Genomic DNA, 19,607 nt, shown 5'->3' with positions numbered 1-19,607 from the left:
TTATTATATAATATATATTATATGATATATGATATATGGGAGTTTATTTATTATTCAATATAATATATAATATAACATATATAATGTAACATAAATATAATATTGTATATCATATGACATAAATATATTATTTAACATAATATTAAATATTATTTAATATAATATTAAATAATATTTAATATTTAATAAACTCCCATATATCATATAATATATTTTATATTATCTATATCATATATGATATAATATATTTTATATTATCTATCATATATCATATATTTTATATTATCTATCATATATCATATGATATATTTTATATTATATCTATCATATATCATATGATATATTTTATATTATATCTATCATATATCATATGATATATTTTATATTATATCTATCATATATGATATATTTTATATTATATCTATCATATATGATATATTTTATATTATATATATCATATATGATATATTTTATATTATATATATCATATATGATATATTTTATATTATATATATCATATATGATATATTTTATATTATATATATCATATATCATATGATATATTTTATATTTTATATAATATATTACATATAATATGTTACAATAAACATATATATGGGAGTTTATTAAATATTAAATATATATTATATATGATATATAATATATGATATATGGGTGTTTATTAAATATTAAATATTTTATGTATAATATATTATATATATATCCTATTAGTTCTAGGATATAGGCTATATATCCTATTAGTTCTATCTATTATATATAATATATAATATATAATATATAATATATAATTTGTATATAATATATAATATATAATTTGTATATTATATATAATATATAAAATATAATTTGTATATTATATAAACATATATTTTATATATGTTTATATAATATATATTTATATATTTTATATATTATATATAAATATGTAATATATATAATATATAAAAAATTATATATATTATATATTATATATATTAAAGTTTATGAAATATTAACTTACATGATCACAAGGTCACACGATAAGCTGTCTGCAAGCTTGACGAGCAAGAAGAGCCAGTCCAAGTCTCAAAACTGAAGAACTTGGAGTATGATGTTTGAGGGCAGGAAGCATCCAGTGTGGGAAAAAGATGTGGGCTGGGAGGCTAGACAAGTCTTGCCTCTTCACGTTTTTCTGCCTAATTTATATTCACTGGCCGCTGATTAGATGGAAGGGTGGGTCTGCCTTCCCCAGCCCACTGACTCAAATGTTAATCTCCTTTGGTAACACCTTCACAGACACACCGAGGATCCATACTTTGCATCCTACAATCCAATCAAGTTGACACTCAGTATTAACCATCACGCCCACCTATGATGGACAAACTAGATGACACGAAATGCTGTCACGTTCGAGTGGGTCTCAAAGCAAGAAAGAAGCTCTGTAGCTTGAGCCGCATGATCCAATAGCTTTTATGGTTTTAGCTATGTGAGCAGTCAGAAAAGATGCTGTATGGACTTTTGTGGCAAGTCCCAACAGAAGAATTGCCATGTTGACCCCTAGAATTCTAGCTCCATCAAGAGAATGATAAGCCTTTTGAAAAACAACTCTGGGTGCTGCTGGGCCCTGATAGAGATGGAATGCCTGAACATAAACACCAATGATCATGCAGCCATCGTGAACTAGATTCTACAGATTCACCAAGTCACAAGTTTGGGCAATAACCATCCTGTATAAAAAGGAAAATGGAACATTTGGAATCCAACATGATCTGGACCAGAGGACACAAGTAAACTGCATGAACAGGTAGCCCAGGGCCTCATGTCAACCCCACGATAGTACAAATGCCTCTCCCTCAGCTCACTCCTATGGCTATATGGGGGTCCTATGGCTATATGGGGGTTCCTTTAGATCAGTCGATGGAGGAGGAAATATCCTCAGTTTGATTCGCAGATGGGTTGGCTCTGCATGTGAGTGCAAGTGAAAGTTGCAAAACAACTGCTCTGCAGCCCCAGTCACAGGTGGCCTTGGAAGACATTGATGAGGCAAAACACTCCCAGTGGGCAGGGATTTGGGAGATGCACCTAGTTATTCACTGTTTGGAAAGAAAAGTGACTCAAGGTTGGAATGTATATGGATTCATGGGCAGTGGTGAATGACTTGCTGTCTGGCTGGTCTGAGGCTGGAAGGAAAAAGATTATAATATCAGGGACAAAAGTTATTGGTGTAGAGGCATGTCACTACACACACAGGAATAGTCAAAATTGGAAAATTACTGTATTACAAGTTTAAATTGACCATCTGTCACAGAAGTGTCACTAAACAACCAAGTAGGCAAAATGACTCAACCTGTCGATGTCACCCAGCATCTGTCATCAGCTGCACCAGTGCCTGGCATGAAGGGCACCTGAGTTCATTGACTATCATGGCAGAGATGGAGGCCACACATAGGTCTAACAACACGGACTCCTGCTTACCAGGGCTGATGTAGTTACTACCACCACAGAGGTCCAACCTGCCAGCAACTGAGAACAATGCTGACACCCTGGTATGGGACCATGTCTTGAAGAGTCCAACCAGACACTTGGTGGCAAGTCGATTACATTAGATCTTTCCTCCCTGGATGAGCCAGCAATTCATTCTGATGGGAATATACACATAATCCAGTCATGAGTTTGTCTTCCCTGCTTGTAGGGTTTCAGCCAACAGCACCATCTAAGGGCTTACAGTGTCAGGCCAGGGGTCCCATTACACAGAAAAAAAGGTATGGGGATGGGCCCATGACGATGATGTCCTCTGGTTGTATCTTGTATTGTATCCCCTGGAAGCTGCTGGCCTAATAACATTTTAGAATGGCCTTTAAAAGGTACAGCTGAAGTGCCAGCTCAGAGATGATGCTTTGTGAAAATTGGACACCATTCTTGAGAATGTAGTACATTTGATATGGTTCCTTGTTCCAATAGCAGGAACACACGGATTTGGAATCCAAAGGGAGGAATCAGGAGTTGGTTTCACTCACTGCCACTCCTACTTATTCACTTGGGGAATTTGTGCTTCCTGAACTTGCAACTCGGCTCTGTTGGTTTAGAATTTTAGAGTCCTGAATGGGAAACACTTCCTCAAGGGGACACTGAAAGAGTCCTGTTGAATTATAGACTGCAAATGCTGCTTCAACATTTGTAGCTCCTTGTGCTAAGGGACCAGGAAGCGAGAAGAAGGATCATTATCCTGACAATTGGCCCTGAGCTTCAGGAGAATGTTACACAGATGCTGTTACACATGGGGATGGAGGAGGATGTGTCTGGCACCCACGTGGTCCACTGGGGTGGCTCTTGGGACACTCCTTGCCCAATTTTGGTGGTAAATGGACAAGTGCAAGTTTGTTCTGTAGGTGCCTCTTCATTTCTTTTTTTATCTGCAACTTTTGTTGTTATTATTGAAGAAATACAGTTGCTTGGTCTGTGGTATTTCCCAAAGTCTGAGTTTTACTGATTGTATCTTTAAGGTGTCGTTTAACATGTTTTTCTTACTTGTTTCTTTTCTTTTCTTTTTCTTTTTTTCTTTTTTTTTTTTTGAGATGGAGTCTGTCTCTGTCACCCGGGTTGGAGTGCAGTGGCACAATCTTGGCTCATTGCAACCTCCGCCTCCCGGGTACAAGTGATTCTCCTGCCTCAGCTTCCTGAGTACCTGGGACTACAGGCACATGCCACCACGGCCAGATAACTTTTGTATTTTTAGTAGAGACGGGGTTTCACCATGTTGGCCATGATGGTCTCGATCTCTTGACCTTGTGATCTGCCCGTCTTGGCCTCCCAAAGTGCTGGGATTATAGGCATGAGCCACTGTGCCCGTCCTACTTGTTTATTTTCTATAAATTGGTAAATTGAAGCAAACTTGAGCAAACTTGTGTTTAATTTTTTTTTTTTTTTTTTGGCAAGACTACTTCATAGATAATGATGGGCTCCTCCACCAGGAGGCACGTGATGTGTGGCTGTTTCTGTGACGTGAGCAGCCACTGATGATCATTGCCTTGATGCCTTTATTTACTAGAAGTTTCAAAGTGATAATTTTCTTATTCTTTCACATATCCTTTATTTTTTAGGTAGACTACTTCTGTAAAGAGGAATTTTCCTTCACTGACTGGTTATCAGTGGTACAGTTTAAATGGGAAAAGAGACATAATGCTCAAGTATTTACCTTTGTGTTTACCAGTTTTAAAAATAGTGAGTTGGTTTCCTAGCATCCCCCACATGTGATCAATTAGTGATGGTGATTTTTTTCTATCATTATAACTCATGGATTTAAATATTCAATCTCTTGCTGCTATTATTTTTTCTTATACTCAAATTGTGTCAGCTTTGATCTGTGAGAGCCTATTCAAGTTAGCCCCTGAGTCTTTTTTGTTTCTGTTTTTGTTTTGAGACAGAGTCTCTCACTCTGTTACCCAGGCTGGAGTCCAGTGGTATAATCACAGCTCACTCCAACTCCAAGGTTCGGGGGATTCTTCCACCTCTGCCTCCCAAGTACCTGGAACCACAGGTATACGCCACCATGCCTAGCTAACTTAATTTTTTTTTTTTGTAGAGATAGGGGTTTTGCCATGTTGCCCAGGCTGATCTCAAACTTCAGGGCTCAAGCAATCCTCCCACCTTGGCCTCCTAAAGTGCTGGGATTACAGGCGTGAGTCACCATGCTCGGCCCTGTGTCTTTCTGACATGACCCAAGTAGTGTTTGATAGCTTCCTGGTTTTCGAGTCTGATCAGATGTTTTGTTTAACATCAGTGCGTGTCTGGGCCTATTTGGATATTGCCTTATATTTTAAGGCTTATGACTTATCCCTGGAAAGCATAGGTTGAAAAAGTAAGTGGCTGTAACTTTCAGCTCAGGTTCTAAGAGGAACTGTGGATTCAGCAGGATTTCCAATTGCTCTCCTCATTGGCAAAGGGGAAAACAAGCGCCCTCAATTACGAGAAGTGAGATTACCCATCACAGCCTTGAGCTGCACTAAGGCAATATACTACATGGCAAATTACACATGTCGGGCAGGGGGTCAAGTAGAGTTATAAATGCAGACACAGAGGCATTGATCATTGATATGAATGAAGAAGGGAACTGGAAACAGGCAGTTCAGGTTTGCTTCAATATTCCAAACTTGCAAGTTTAATTCTAAAGTAGTCCAAGACGCAATCATGGATTATTCCATCTGTGAACTGTATGATATTGCAAATGAAGAGTTCAGACTTGGTTTAACTCTTGACGATCTTGCAAAGTAAGCACAGGCTCATTATAATAACTGTGTTCAGGCTGTGTGTGAGTTTGGTGTCTGCCGGAATGGCAGCAAAGATGACTGAGAATTCAAATGTGTGTGGTCAGAAGCCTGTGTTGCCACTGTGCTCTCTGGCCACATTGGGGAGTGGCAGAGATCTTCTTCCCAAATCAGGAAAGGCAGATGCCCATGGATCTAGGCTCTTGAACTGTTTTCAGGGTGAGTAAATACCTTTCATTTCTTCTTTATTTTGGAGAAAAATTGAAAAAGGCAGGTTATCACCATGGTCCCTTTGCTCTCCTCTTTCATCATTTTCTTGTCAATGAAAGAAAATTTACAATAAAAAATGATTACGTAACAAACATTGAATGCAAATGTTAGAAGTTCACAGGTGAGGAGAGGACAAGTGGTGACTACAGAAGGCAGCCCCTTTGAGGGTCTGAAGCATAACAATTTCGCATTCTTCTTGCTCATATGCCCTAATTTTGCCCTAAGAAGGAGGCTTTCCCTCCACACAGTAGATAGTCTTCGACAGAACCTCAAGGGTAGCTTCTTCTGCATTAGTCTTGGAGTCTATTCTACATCTAAACGGCATGGGAGATCAGCTGCTCAGCATCATAGGGCAACACATGTGAAATTAGTACTTCACTGGAATGACACCCATGTGTAGAAGCCAGCATGGAGGCAGAAAAGGCCTGACACTCCTTTGCCATCCTACTTGGAAGGCAGGGCTTATTCTGTCAGATGCCCTCGACTTGGACTTGAATCAGGAGTGAGTGAAGTGACGAAGCAGGGACCATGACAAGACCTAGGACCAGTGTCGGCAACAGTGCTGGAGGTTTTAGTATTTAGATGCAGGGGCAGTTCATTTTAGGTGGGTCCCAGGAAACTTTGTTTCTTTGTTCCTGCCTGTTTTGTTAACTTGGTTTCCCAGCTTTTTTGGAGAATCTGTAAGCTACCAAGACATCCTTCCAGTAAATTCTCATCTTGCTTAAATCAGCCAGAAATGGTGCCTATGGTTTGAAACCAAGAAACTTGGACTGATACAGGATGTACTCTCTTTTCATTAAAGCTTACTGTCTCCCAAACACCTGCCTTACAGACAGATAATGAAGTAGACCTAATCATGAACCAGAATTGCCTTCGAAACTTGTGTTTTGGTGGAGTGAATGATGTCGGCCCTCAGCGTTCCTGGGCTGCTGCTGCTGTGTTTAAAACTGTGCCATAGGAACTGTCACTGTTTCTGTGGTTTCTGAGGGATGGCTCTGCTTCAGGTTTGTGCTCTTCTCAGAAAGGCACTTGCTCTGCCAGAAGAGTTTGAAGAGCACCTCTTGTCACCTCAGCATGAGAAAATGGAGATTGCAGCAACCCAGAGAGAGAGCTCATGTGAGAATGACAGAAAGCTCAGCCTCAGAGCAACAGCCAGCATTTGCCACATCCAGCAGAGGGGAACAAAGGTTTCCACAGACAGCCATGGAAGAAGACTCAGTACTTGATGTCTATTTCTTGAGTGACTGCATAAGCAGAAACCAAGACCTGGTTCACATTCCCTAACACAGGGAGTGAACATCTGTGCTCAGCTGGTGTGGAGTCAGAGCAAAGAGGATCTCACCAGAGCAGAAATACTTAAATGAGAGCACTACAGGATACAGCTTGGAACAATGGGGAAAAGACAACTGCTCAAGCTTTCTTTCAACTTGGTAGCTCAGATTTCATCTAGGACAACGGCTGAGCTGTCGTATCAGAACTTCCATTCTCTAGCTCCAAGTTCTGATCAGTTAACCTCACCTATTTATTTACTTTAAAAATTTTATTATGGAGCTATGATATTGTGATATAATGCAAAACATATATTTGGTCTCTGCCCTTCCCTCTCCGCCCACCTACCTGTTCTTGGCACAGAATCCTAAAGGCCTTGTAGATAGGGGCGCTAGAGGAATCTTTTGTTCCGATATTTGGTTTTTCACCCTCAAGACAAAAGTGCTCCTAAGACCTTTCCTCTGTAATTTTCTTAGTGGTGTAAGCACCTGACACAGAGCTCCTAAATCCCTTGGAATTTCCTGGGTAATAGGAGCATCTTTTGTTCTAATGAGGTGACTTGGTGGGCTCCTGGGTAGCCTCAGGATGGGGGCTGGTTGCCAGGGGAACCAACTCTGTGATTAGAGGATTGGAACTCTCAGCTCCATCCTTTGACCTCCTGGAAGAGGAGAGAGGCTGAAGGTTGAGTCGATCATCAATGACCAATGATGTAATTAATCATGCCCTACCTAGTGAAGCCTCCATAAAAACCCGAAAGGAGTGGGTTCAGAAAGCTTCCGAATTACTGAGCACTTGGAAGTTCTGGAGGGTGGCATGCCTGGAGATGGCATGGAAACTCCATGCCCCTTCCCCCATACCTTGCCCTATGCATCTATCTATTCCATCTGGCTGTTCATCTGTGTCTTCTGTAATATCCTTTAAATAAATGGATAAATGTAAGTAAAGTGTCTTCCTGAGATCTGTTAGCCTGTCTAGAAAATTAGTCAAACTAGAGGTGGGGGATCATGGGAATCCCAATTTAATGCTGGTAGGCCGGAAGTGCAGGCCACAACCTACTACTTGCGATTGGTATTTAAAGTGGGAGCAATCTTGTGGGGCTGAGCCCTCAACCTATGGGATCTGACACTATTCCTAGGTAGATGATGTCAGAATTGAATTGTGCTAGGTGATACCTAGCTGGTGTCCCCTGCAGAATCGCTTTGTTAGTGTGTGAGGACATCTCCTCCCCAAACCTGGTGTCACATTGTTGTGTTGACGGGTGAGTGAGGGTAGAAAAAGCACTTTTTTTTCTATATCTCAGAAAAGCATTTTGAAATACACATAAAAATTAACAGAAGCAATATAATGAATAACACCTAAACCCCATGGAACCAACATTCAACACGAACAATCATTAACCTCCAGCCCGTCCTGCCCCATCTGCACTTGCATCCATTCACTCACCTACCTGTGTTATCTTGAAGCAAATTCTGGACATCATAACTTTTCACAGAAGTTAAGGACCCCCCCCACACACATGTTTTTTCTTTTCTTTCTTTCTTCCCTTTCTTTGTTTTTAACATAACCAAAAAACCATTAACACATTTAAAAACATTAACAATAATTTAAAAAAATCAAACATCCAATCTTCAAATTTTCAGTGAACTATGTCTAAATCACTAATATCTAATCCTTGTGAATCTTATAAACTGGAGCAAATTTCATGTTTTGATTATTTGCATACTTGTCATGATACATGTACATTTTGAAAACGGGTATATCCAGGTTCAAGAAGGTATACGTGGTACAGTTGTTTCAAACTGGATTGTGTTTGCACTTTTATATCTTTGGAGGCATTTCAGAGCCCTCAGAAGGAACAGTCACGGAAGGGTAAGTTGACATATTAAAGGGACAGACAGTGCTGAGTGAGAGTGGGCAGTGGGGAAAGACAAGACAGTGGGGGAGGCACTTCAGGGTGAAGTCAAAGGTATTGAAGAGACAGCAGTTTCAAGAAGGTGATTTTTATGATTGGGGAATGCTTAGCCATTAGTTACTCGTGCTGCTGGTACAATTTGTTGCCATTTCTTATAGGCAGTGTCACTGGCCACAATCGGAACTTCCTTTCTGGTTCATATGGTAATATGCAAATAGAGTAGTGATTTTGGTAGGGGATGAAGGTATCGGAAAGGGACTAGAAGCCCTATGAAAAGAGGTTAAAATGGCCTCAATAAAATAATCAAATAGCTTCTGTAAAATTTGGGGTTAGCTTATGTCTATAGGATAATCAAAATATCAGGTCTGGAACTGGCAGGTGCAGGCTTGAGGCCTTAGAGTTTTATCGAGAATGCACATACCAAGAACTTCATGAATGTGCATTTCCATTGGGCTACCTCCAGGATTGTTGGGAGCTGGTTGCCAATTGAAATAATTCTTCTCTCTCGCTCTCTGTTTCTCTCGCTCTACATATAAAATCTATGATAATTATAATAAGTTTTTTTAAAGAGACAGGGTCTTGTTCTGTCTCCCAGGGTGAAGTGCAGTGATGTGATCATGGCTCACTGCAGCCTTGAACTTCCCAGACCAAGTGATCCTCTTGCCTCAGCCTCCTAAGTAGCCACAGTGGCAAAACCACAATTTCTTTTGCACCAACCTAATAATGTTTTCATTTTTTTGTAGAGATGGGATATTGCTTTGTTGCCCTGGCTGATCTCAAACTCCTGGTCTCAAGTAACCCCCCTAAAGTGCTGGGATTACAGGCGTGAGCCACTGTGCCCAGCCAATAATAATAATTATTCTTCCTTTGCCTTATATCGGCATTTCTCAGACTGGGTTCTAAGCAACACCAGGCATTTGGTCAGATGAGTTTGGGAAACCCCGTCTACTCCATTTTCCCTCTCAGAGAGTCACAGTACACACTGAAGCATTAAAAGTTCTGAGAAATCAGCCGGGCGCGGTGGCTCAAGCCTGTAATCCCAGCACTTTGGGAGGCCGAGGCGGGTGGATCACGAGGTCAGGAGATCGAGACCATCCTGGCTAACATGGTGAAACCCCGTCTGTACTAAAAGTACAAAAAAATCAGCCGGGCGTGGTGGCAGGCGCCTGTAGTCCCAGCTACTCGGGAGGCTGAGGCAGGAGAATGGCGTGAACCCGGGAGGCGGAGCTTGCAGTGAGCCGAGATTGCGCCACTGCACTCCAGCCTGGGCTACAGAGCGAGACGGAGACTGAGACTCCGTCTCTAAAAAAAAAAAAGTTCTGAGAAATCCTGTTGCATTTTGAGGCTGGCTCATAGTAGGCACGAATTCGAATATTCAATGAACGCATAGATGTTACCCAGTGTTTCCTGAGCCTTTTAAATCATGGAAATCTTTTCTATGCAATATCGATTAATATCTTATGGTTCAGCAGGGCCCTGCAGAGGACATACTAATACTTAAACATGATTAGTTGTTCACATGACATTTACATTTGACTGGGCCTTCTGTATTTTTGTCTGCTAAGTCTGTCCACCTTATTCCTTCTTGATCTTCCCATCCCACTGTTTCAGTGGGGGCAGCCATGTTTGAACAAATGACCCTTCCCTCTATCCACAGTTGATTGGTTGAGTGGTGGGCATGTGATCCAGGCTAAGTCCATCATATTCTTTCTTTGGGAAAATGGAATTCTGATTTATAGCTGGTGGGTCAGAAGTACGGGTCAGAACCTGTACTTCTCCACGCAAGTCAGTTGGGATGCTGTCTTGAATGGAGAGCACAGAAGTGAAGCAAATGTTGGCAGTGGCTGTTTTCCACCGGGAAGACTGGGAAAGAACGAAGCAGATGCTGTGATAAGGAGACTTGCAGAGTTCTCAACAATGTCCCAACTCCTGCTTCTTGCTCTTTCTGAAGCTTGGCTGTTTAACTGCTCTTGTATTCTTTAAGATGCTCCCAGAATTCTTATAATACACCTTTCCTTTGCTTAAGCTAGCTCAAATGGAGTTCTATTTTTTGCAACCAAAAAATATCCTAATAAAGCGTGATTCTTCCCAGAGGGGAGTCGATTTGCTCTGTCATTCACGATTTACTGTAATAGGTCTGGTGTAGAGGGCTGACATGCGTTTTGAGAATGAGGTAGCTTATCTTTAAGGAGAACACTTTGACATCTGGGTGATTCTGTGTAAATAAATGATGACACCCGGGGCAAGCGACTTGACATTTCCCCGGTTAGCTCCATCTCTAGCCTGGAGCTCTCCAGCTTCCAGCATAGATGGGGAATCTCAGGGAAATCACAAAACCACCACATAGGCTCTTTCTCTGGGTAAACGGGCAAGATCACTCTGCATGCCAGATTGAGACACTGTACTTTAAAATCCTGAAGTTCCCAAGACTGGAATCCTGAGTGGAAAATTAGACCCCCCAAGGTCCATGGCTGTTGGCCTTGAGTTAAGTGTCACCCTTTGTTCCTACCATGGGAAGTTCAATTTAGAGCAATTTGGAATGATTCCCTCCAGTCTCAGGGCATCATTAGGTATTTCAAGGCTGGTGGTTAGCTTGGTAAAAACCACTTCCCCATATTAGAAGATCACAGGGACTATTGAAAAGACATCACAGAGTGTATGATTTTAAGCAAGTCACAGTTTTCAGATTACCAGTATTTTCAGACAGTTTAAAAAGTGCTTGTATCTTACATATAAACACAATCTATATAGTAAAGCTCACATTGACCTTGGAAAAAGCTCCTTTCGTGCAACATGGAAGTGTGGTGGTCTTCTTGGGTATCATGGGTTATTCAGGAATATTTTATTTTATTTTACTTTATTTTTTATTAGTTCATTTTCCTTAAAGCCAGGAGGCAAACAAATAACTGTGAACCTTGGTGAACAAATACAGACCTCAGATTAGGGTCGAGTAGCTCCTTGATTGATTTTCTCTTAAATCTTAGGATGGTTTCCATTGTCGAGAGATTTTTTTTAATCTGAGTTCACTGTTAGTTGTCTCTGGAGTGTGATTATCATTTTAATCCTGTAAGACCAGTGTTCTTTGGCCAGATAATCTCAGTGTATCTGGGGTTTTCAGCTGCTAAATTCTTAATGTGATGAATGGGACAGGATACCATATCCAGAAGACATTAATGGGTTCATGCGCATAATACAGTCATCACCACAAATAGGTCACGTCAGCCCTGAAATGTCAACTTGCACTCAAACTGCAAGTTGAGATGCACGTTTATGTACTTATTTTTACTTATTTTTTTTAAACAGGATCGTGCTGTGTCACCCAGCCTCCCAGGCTGGAGTGCAATGAGGTGCTCATGGCTCACTGTAGCCTCAACCTGCCGGGCTCAAGTAATCCTCCTGCCTCGGCCCCCCAAATAGCTGGGCCTACAAGTGCGCACTGCCATGCCCAGATATGTTTTGTATTTTTTTGTAGGTAGAAGGTCTCTCTTAGCTGGCCAGGCTGGTTTCAAATTCCTGGCCTCCCAAAGTGCTGAGATTACAGGTATGAGCCACCACACTGGGCCATGTATTTTTTCGTACTAGTAATTTCTTTTTTAAAAACTAGGTCCAGGCCAGGGGCAATAGCTCATGCCTGTAATCCCAACACTTTGGGAGGCTGAGGTGGGCAAATCACCTGAGGTCAGGAGTTTGGGACCAGCTTGGCCAACATGGCAAAACCCTGTCTCTGCTAAAAATACAAAAATTAATCGGATGTGGTGGCACGCACCTGTAGTCCCAGCTACTCGGAAGGCTGAGGCAGGAGAATCGCTTGAACCCAGGAGATGGAGGTTGCAGTGAGCCAAGATTGCCCCGTTGCACTCCAGCTTGGGCATCAGAGCGAAACTCTGTCTCAAAATAAATAAATAAAATAATAATAATAAAAAAGCTAGATCCTAATGAGGTTTTCCTCCATTTTTCAAAGTGTATCTAAGAGGTATGAGACACCTGCTTTTGAAAAACCTATATATTGAAACATGGGCTTGGGTCATGAGGAGGGGTTTTATTGAAATATTGTGGTCTGAATCCTAAGCACACTCTTCTGCGGCTAACTTGAAAGTTCATGTTTTCCAGGGAAAAGGCAATTTCTAGGAAAGAAGTCTGATAATGACATGTTTAGATGAGGAGAAACATCTGATCTCTGAAAAATACATATCTATATATTTGACATTTAAAAAGTTATGTTTTAGTGCTTACCTAGAATATCCTTGGCTTTGTATTTATTTTTCAGGCTCTGCTCTCTGTTAGAAATTACATTCCCTGATAAGGAAATAGGAACATGGGAACCTTCTGTGGGTTGAGTATGGGCAGTCAAAGGTTCGCTGGTGTCTTTAAGAGCTATTTATGAACTCACACTCTGTCCAGAGAAGCTCTGGACAGCTCTATACTGTTAGCTACTTGTATATGTGTTGCCATGTTTGCTTGGAACTTGGCATAAATTTTTGGAGGAGTTTGTGTCCTTTTTTCTCTTGTATTATGTTATTATCATTGTTATTTTGTCAATAAAGATGTAGTTTTATGGAACTTATTAGTATCTTAGTAACTGTGATCTTGGGCAACTTATTTAAGCTATATTTTTCTTTCCTTTCATTTGTATAAATTTAAGGGGTACAAGTGCAATTTTGTTACATGGATATAGTGAAATCTGGACTTTCAGTGTGTCCATCACTCAAATAATGCCCATTTTACGCATTTAGTGATTTCTCATCATTTATCCACCTCCCATCCCTAGTTGAGCTATCTGAGCTTCAGTTTCTTTGTTTGCAAGAAGTAGATAATCATGCTTATTTCACAAGGTTGTTGTAAAAATGACATAAGCAAATATACGGAAAATACTCCAAACATAGTACTTAGTGTATAAATATGTGCACAATAAACATTAGTTATTTTCTATCCTTCAACTGAACCAACTGGAAGAGGGACTAAAAATAATATTGTGATTAATGAGGCATGCACGCACGCACGCACACACACACACACACACACACACACATACACACACAGAGGCAGCTCTGGAAATAGTCCATGTGGCTCTGGTAGCACGGTTATCTAGCTGGGTAGTTTCATTGTTGTTGTTTTAGGTAGCAGATTACTATGATAGCCCTCTTTTCCTATTCTATAGGTCTTGATAAGAATCACCCATGCTAGGCGATTCCTGGACAGTTAACACAGATGGTAACCCAAACCAACATGCTCCTAAAACTTCATCACAGTCTGAAGGTTGTGAAGACGTTTAGATGGTAGTTATAGATAGAGTCATATAGAGTCTAATTATCATCCAAAGTTTAGGAATTCATCTCCCTTCAGTTAGTTTTTCAAAAATTGAGTAATGTAGTTTTTGTGGTTTTAACAGCAGAAATTCTCCCCTTAAGTGACTTGGGTCTGTTTTTTCATCCAAGCTCTTATGATTTAGAGAGCCTGCCACCACCTGGCTGTGTGCACCTGCTTTATAATAGACACAAGTTGGTTTTTACTTGAGACTCTCATTTCTTTTGCACCAATATCTCACCTGTCCCTGAAATCATGAACTCATTTGCTTTTTCAGAACCTATCATCCTTTCTCACTGCTGTTCATGTGCTATCCCCTTGACTTTGTAGTGCAAAGGAGGGCCGTCAAAAGCAGCTTTTAAAGGGAGTTGGGTGGGGAAAGTGGAGGCTTCCTGGAGGAGTGATCCCTGAGCTAGGGCCTTGAGATGTGAGGAGGCAGCCAGTTCAAGAAGTGAGGAGAAGGCATGGACCAAGGCCCAGGGGCATGCAGTGGTTTGGCGAAGTGGAGTGTGCTACTGGCTAGAGTGGCTGGAGCCTGGAGGTGAGGAGAGCTGGAGATGGAGGTGGAGGTGTTGGCATGGGATAAACCATGGAAGGCCTGGGTTGCCAGATTAAGGGGCTTGGAACTTATAGGTAGGCCACGGTGAGCCTTTGATGGGTTTTAAGTAGGGGAGGGGCATGGTCTGTTCCCCTCTACCCGCTGGTTGGGGGAGCAGTGTAGAGAGATGGGTAACATAGAGTATGGTTGGCCAAGACGTAGTCTAGGTCAGAGATGATGAAGATCTGAGTAAGGGTGATAGGTGTTGGGGGAGAGGGAGTTACTGTGTCAGTGTAGACAGCTACGCCTACTCCATCCCTGTCAAATCTAATAGGGGGCATAATTTATGAATATTAACCTTCTTTTCTTTCTTTCTTTCTTTCCTTCTTTCTCTCTTTCTCTCTTTCTTTCTTTCCCTCACTCCCTCCCTCCCTTCCTTCCTTCCCTTTTCTTTTCTTTTCCTTTTCTTTTCTTTTCTTTTCTTTTCTTTCTTTCTCTCTGTCTCTCTCTTTCTTTCTTTCTCTTCCTTCTCTCTTTTCTCCCTCTCTTTCTCTCTTCTTTCTTGACAGGGCCTTACTTTGTTACTCAGGCTGGAGTGCAGGGGCACAATTATGGCTCACTGCAGCTTTGATTTTTTGGGCCAAAGGCATTCTTCTACCTCAGCCTCCTAAGTAGCTGGGACCACAGGTGTGTGTAACCATGTCCCACTATTTAAATTTTTTTTTTTTTTTTTTTTAGAGATGAGGTCTGCCTATGTTGCCCAGCCTGGTCTTGAACTCCTGAATTTCACCTTGGCCTTCCAAAGTGTTAGGATTACAGGCGTGAGCCACTGTGCCCAGCCAGCTATTTCTTTTGATAAATATACCCTATAATTGTCAAACAACTCCTTCAGTTTCATTTGTATAGGTCTTTGGTCCCCAAATTAGGCTGCACATTGCAATCTCTTGGAGACTTTTAAAAGCTACTGATGCCTGGGTCCTAACCCTGGAGATTCTGATATAACTGGTATGGCCTACAGCCTAGGCATAGGACTGTGGGAAGTTTGCCAACCGAATCTAAAATGTGTAGGAAAATGTGTAGGAAAGATTAAGAACCACAGCTTAACCACAGCTGTGGGTATCACCCAACCAGCGTAAAAAGAGAAATCTTCTTCCTGACCTTGTCCATTGGTTTAGGAGCTCATAAAAAGGGACACAAAGTGTTCACAATGATCAGTCAGTTGGGATTATTAGAAAAACTGTGATTCCTATGCAGTAGTTGCCCAGCACAATTCTGTGAGTTACACACTGAATTCTAGCTGTATTTCCATGGAAAATTGCTTATGCTTATGGATGGCACTTTCTAAAAAGCCTCTTGCACTCTCTTTGGATTAAAAGTGATTTTCATTGTTATGGATTTACTTTGTTTCTGCTGATTTATTTATTGACACTAAATAAATTCATCCTACCGAGGTTATTTCCGCCTAGTTATCTTGGGTTAAATTGTTATCTAGCATTGTTGCAGATCTGCATTTGTGGTCTACATCAGTGTTTCTCGAATTTGAATGCTTTTTGAGAATCACCTAAGAATCTTGTTTAAATGCAGATTTGGATTAAGTAGGGCTGGGGAACAGCCTGAGGTTCTGCATTTCTTTTTTTTTTCTTTTGAGACAGTGTCCGGCTCCATCTCCCAGGCCGGAGTGCGGTAGTTGCTTGACTCATTGCAACCTCCACCCCCAGGTTCAAGCAATCCACTCACCTCAGCCTCCCAAGTTGCTGAGACCATAGGCGTGTACCACCATGCCTGGCTAACTTTTTTTGTATTTTTTGTAGAGACGAGGTTATGAGCTCTCAGGTCATGCTGAAGCTGCTGGTTCATGGACCACACATTTAATAGAGGATCCTGGGGCCCTAGGAAATATTCAAAAGTCACTTATTATTATCCTTCTCTTCAATTATAATCATTTGGGGGAAGCATAAAAAATGAAACAATATTAACAGTTAATTTCAAAAAAATCTCTAGGTGAAGATTTACATATGGTTGCAGATGAAATAAATACAAAATCATTTTTCCATCTGTGAATGACATTTCTACTAATCTCAAACCTCTCGATTGTGCCTTTGAGGACACCTAGGAGAAATTACTCCAGGAGCATGCAAATATGAGATTCTGGGTTTCATTGTTTTTAAGTGTGCGAGGATTCTATAGTTAACAAAATAGTTGAAATGTTTAATATATGTCAATAGCTGAAAATACATAACCTCAAACAATACGACAATGCTATTAATGTCAAATTTTGACGATTGAGATAACCAAAGTCAGGCCATACGTGGTGGGAACTCACAGCTGAGTTTATAATTTTGGAGAGCTTTGAATCTAATGACAGAGACGTGAGATATTGTTTCTTCCTCAGAGGACAAAGTTCAATAAAGTTGATTAAAAATTTTTAAGTTGACTAGTCTTAAAAATAATAATAATAAAAATTATTAGGAACCCAAAAATTATATTTTGTGAACTCAGAAATTTTTATGTTTTAGCATCTTGTTTAAACAAGGTGCTTGTTTAACAAGGTTTTTTTTTTCTTTCTTTGCTTTAGGCAAATAGCTCACAAGGAACCTTGATTACATTTCTAGAATGAAAATATAACTGGTATGTTGACAAGTGTAAGGAGTAGGATGTAATTGGAATGAAACTTATTTTTGACTTCCAGTGCTCTTTAAAACGTATTCAGTGCGGGAGTTTTTTGTTGGATGAAAGCCCGGATAGATTTCAGGAATGTTCTAGTCACTTAAGGAGTAGCAAGTCCTACTAACCACTTAAGCCAAAACACAGTCTTGAATTAGAAATAGAATTCCAGTCTAATATATAATCAATGTTTCAATATATATTTAAAAGTAAGACCTCCTTTCCCTGCCCCAGCTATAGCCTGTTTGTTACAGACCACGTGCCTTTGTAGAAGGAAAGATGGTGGCTTTTTCTTTCGCTTTTCTACTTTCTTCCATGTTCCTGTGGGGCCGGAGCCCCGAGGGGGAGAAGAAAAAGGGTACAGCAAAGCTCTTATGTGAATGGCGTGGTTGAGAGATGGCTTTGCACTGTCCGGGTCTGGCCGATGCTCACAGGTGAATCTTTCTCTCGTGGGGCTGTTGCTGGGCCGTTCAGAAGTTCCCCTGAGGGTTCCTCCAACTTTAGGCCCAAGAGGTGGACCAAGCAGACTATTCCTCTAGCTGCTGCACTCTTTTCATCCCTTGTTTTCTAGAACTTCCCCTCCACAAAGTCTTTGGAGTCCCATCGCTCCCAGGAGACTCTCAGGAGCAGAATTCAAAATAGCCCCAGGGAACTCTTTCACTTGTGCGGCGGGATTAGGAGTCACATAGGGCAGCAGCCCTCTGCTGAAAGACACTTTTCATTGATCCTTTCTCAATATTCATGCTTTCAACCCTTTTATATCCTCCTTGCCGGTTTTAGGGCTGCTCAGTTTTTATAACTCTTTGAAATTTCCACCTGGTGGTCTGGTGCCTCACTTTAGAAATTTTATATTTATGGTATCTTTGGTGCTTCAGTTGTAAGTTCAAATTTAATATTTGATTACCCCATAATTTAAATTTCTATTTACCTTCCCAAATAGGGTAATTCCTAGACTACTGACCTGTGTCAAATACTTTCTTATACATTAGGGTTTGTCAGTCTCAGCACTATTGACATTTTGGACCAGATAATACTTTGTTGTGGAGGACTGTCTTGGGCATTGTAGGATATTTAATAGTATCCCTGGCCTCTACCCACTAGATACCGATATCACACACCACTCTGACTCCCTGCAACCCCAAGTCACAACAACAACAAAAATCTCCAGACATTTCCAAATGTCCCCTAGGGGCAAAATTGCCCCTGGCTGACACCCACTGCCATAAATTTATAAGTACAGGTCTAAGGGCAAATGTTAAAAACAAGATATGCATCATAACTATGACCTAGACGGGAACGGTAGCCCTGGAAACAACCTCAGCCAGCCCGTTGCCCAACCTCCACTTTATAAGCAAGGAAACAACACAGAGGGGTGCAGTTGATTACCTGGTGTCACAGAGTCCCTGCCATGGGTAGGACTGGGAAGAACCTAGGTCTCCTGACCCTCATGCAGCAGCATTCATTGTGAGGTTGGGGATAAATAATTATTAAATTTCAACAGCACTGCTAATTTTAAAGTACCTATGCTTAGAATTTTCTGAGGCAAAAATAGAACGTAGAAAATCCTTATCTAATTAGTTAGTGAATAGCACTGAATTAAAATTGGACACTATAATTAATCAATGCTAAATTGTAGTCAAATCCATTACCCTTGAGTAGATTATCTGTGTGACCCACAGTCTCCTTCTGACACCACACGTTGGGGATCTGTAGATGCTGATTGGAGGGATTTGAGAAGGGGAGAGGTTGGGGGTTGAGGGAAACTATGAGTGGCAGTAAATCATTTTTCATCTTATCTGTAGTTTGTTTTTATCTATGTCACTGCTCCTTTCCATTAACAAAGCTAATTGAGAACTGACTATTGCAAACTTTTATTACAGAAGGCCAGAGACAGAAAAACACCTCCAGAAAAAATCAGAAATTATTCAATCGTCTGTTCTAAGCATGGTCAGTTTCAGGACCGAATGATCAAGTTTCAGAAACGTTTCTTTCCTGTTTTTTAATTTTTAATTTAAATTAGAGGATTTTTTAAGTTTAATCCACAGAGCAAAACATATGCTTTCCATAGAATTCTTTTCAGCAATGCCTTGCAAGACACAGGTTAGAAGTAAAATCGAACAATTTCCCTAATATTTTATTTCCTAAAGAGTACCTTTCATTTCTGAACTCTATTCGTGTGTCCAGATCTAAACTGTGGTGTTTTAATTGCCTAGGAACCTCCTCTCAAATGCTGGGGCTGGACTTGGGTATTATTGGATTCATTGAGACTCACTGCCCAGCTCTCTAAGGAGTTTCTCTCCCTGTTCTGTCTGTCATGCCCCAATCTCCTCACCTGGAAATGTGAAAATTATAGGGAGTCTTGTCTCTTAATACTAACTTTTAAAAT

At 40.6% G+C, this 19,607-nt stretch overlaps 1 annotated feature.

Annotated features, from left to right (window-relative positions):
• Positions 16,070-16,364: a silencer, noted in NCBI's record as "tiled region #126; K562 Repressive non-DNase unmatched - State 21:Repr". NCBI's record gives its function as "represses a minimal TATA promoter and a strong SV40 promoter by Sharpr-MPRA in K562 cells {active_cell/tissue: K562}" and the evidence as "EXISTENCE:reporter gene assay evidence [ECO:0000049][PMID:27701403]".

This window comes from Homo sapiens, chromosome 2, assembly GCF_000001405.40.
Source record: "Homo sapiens chromosome 2, GRCh38.p14 Primary Assembly".
Taxonomy (NCBI): Eukaryota; Metazoa; Chordata; class Mammalia; order Primates; family Hominidae; genus Homo; species Homo sapiens.
This window is presented reverse-complemented; position numbering and strand designations above follow the sequence as displayed.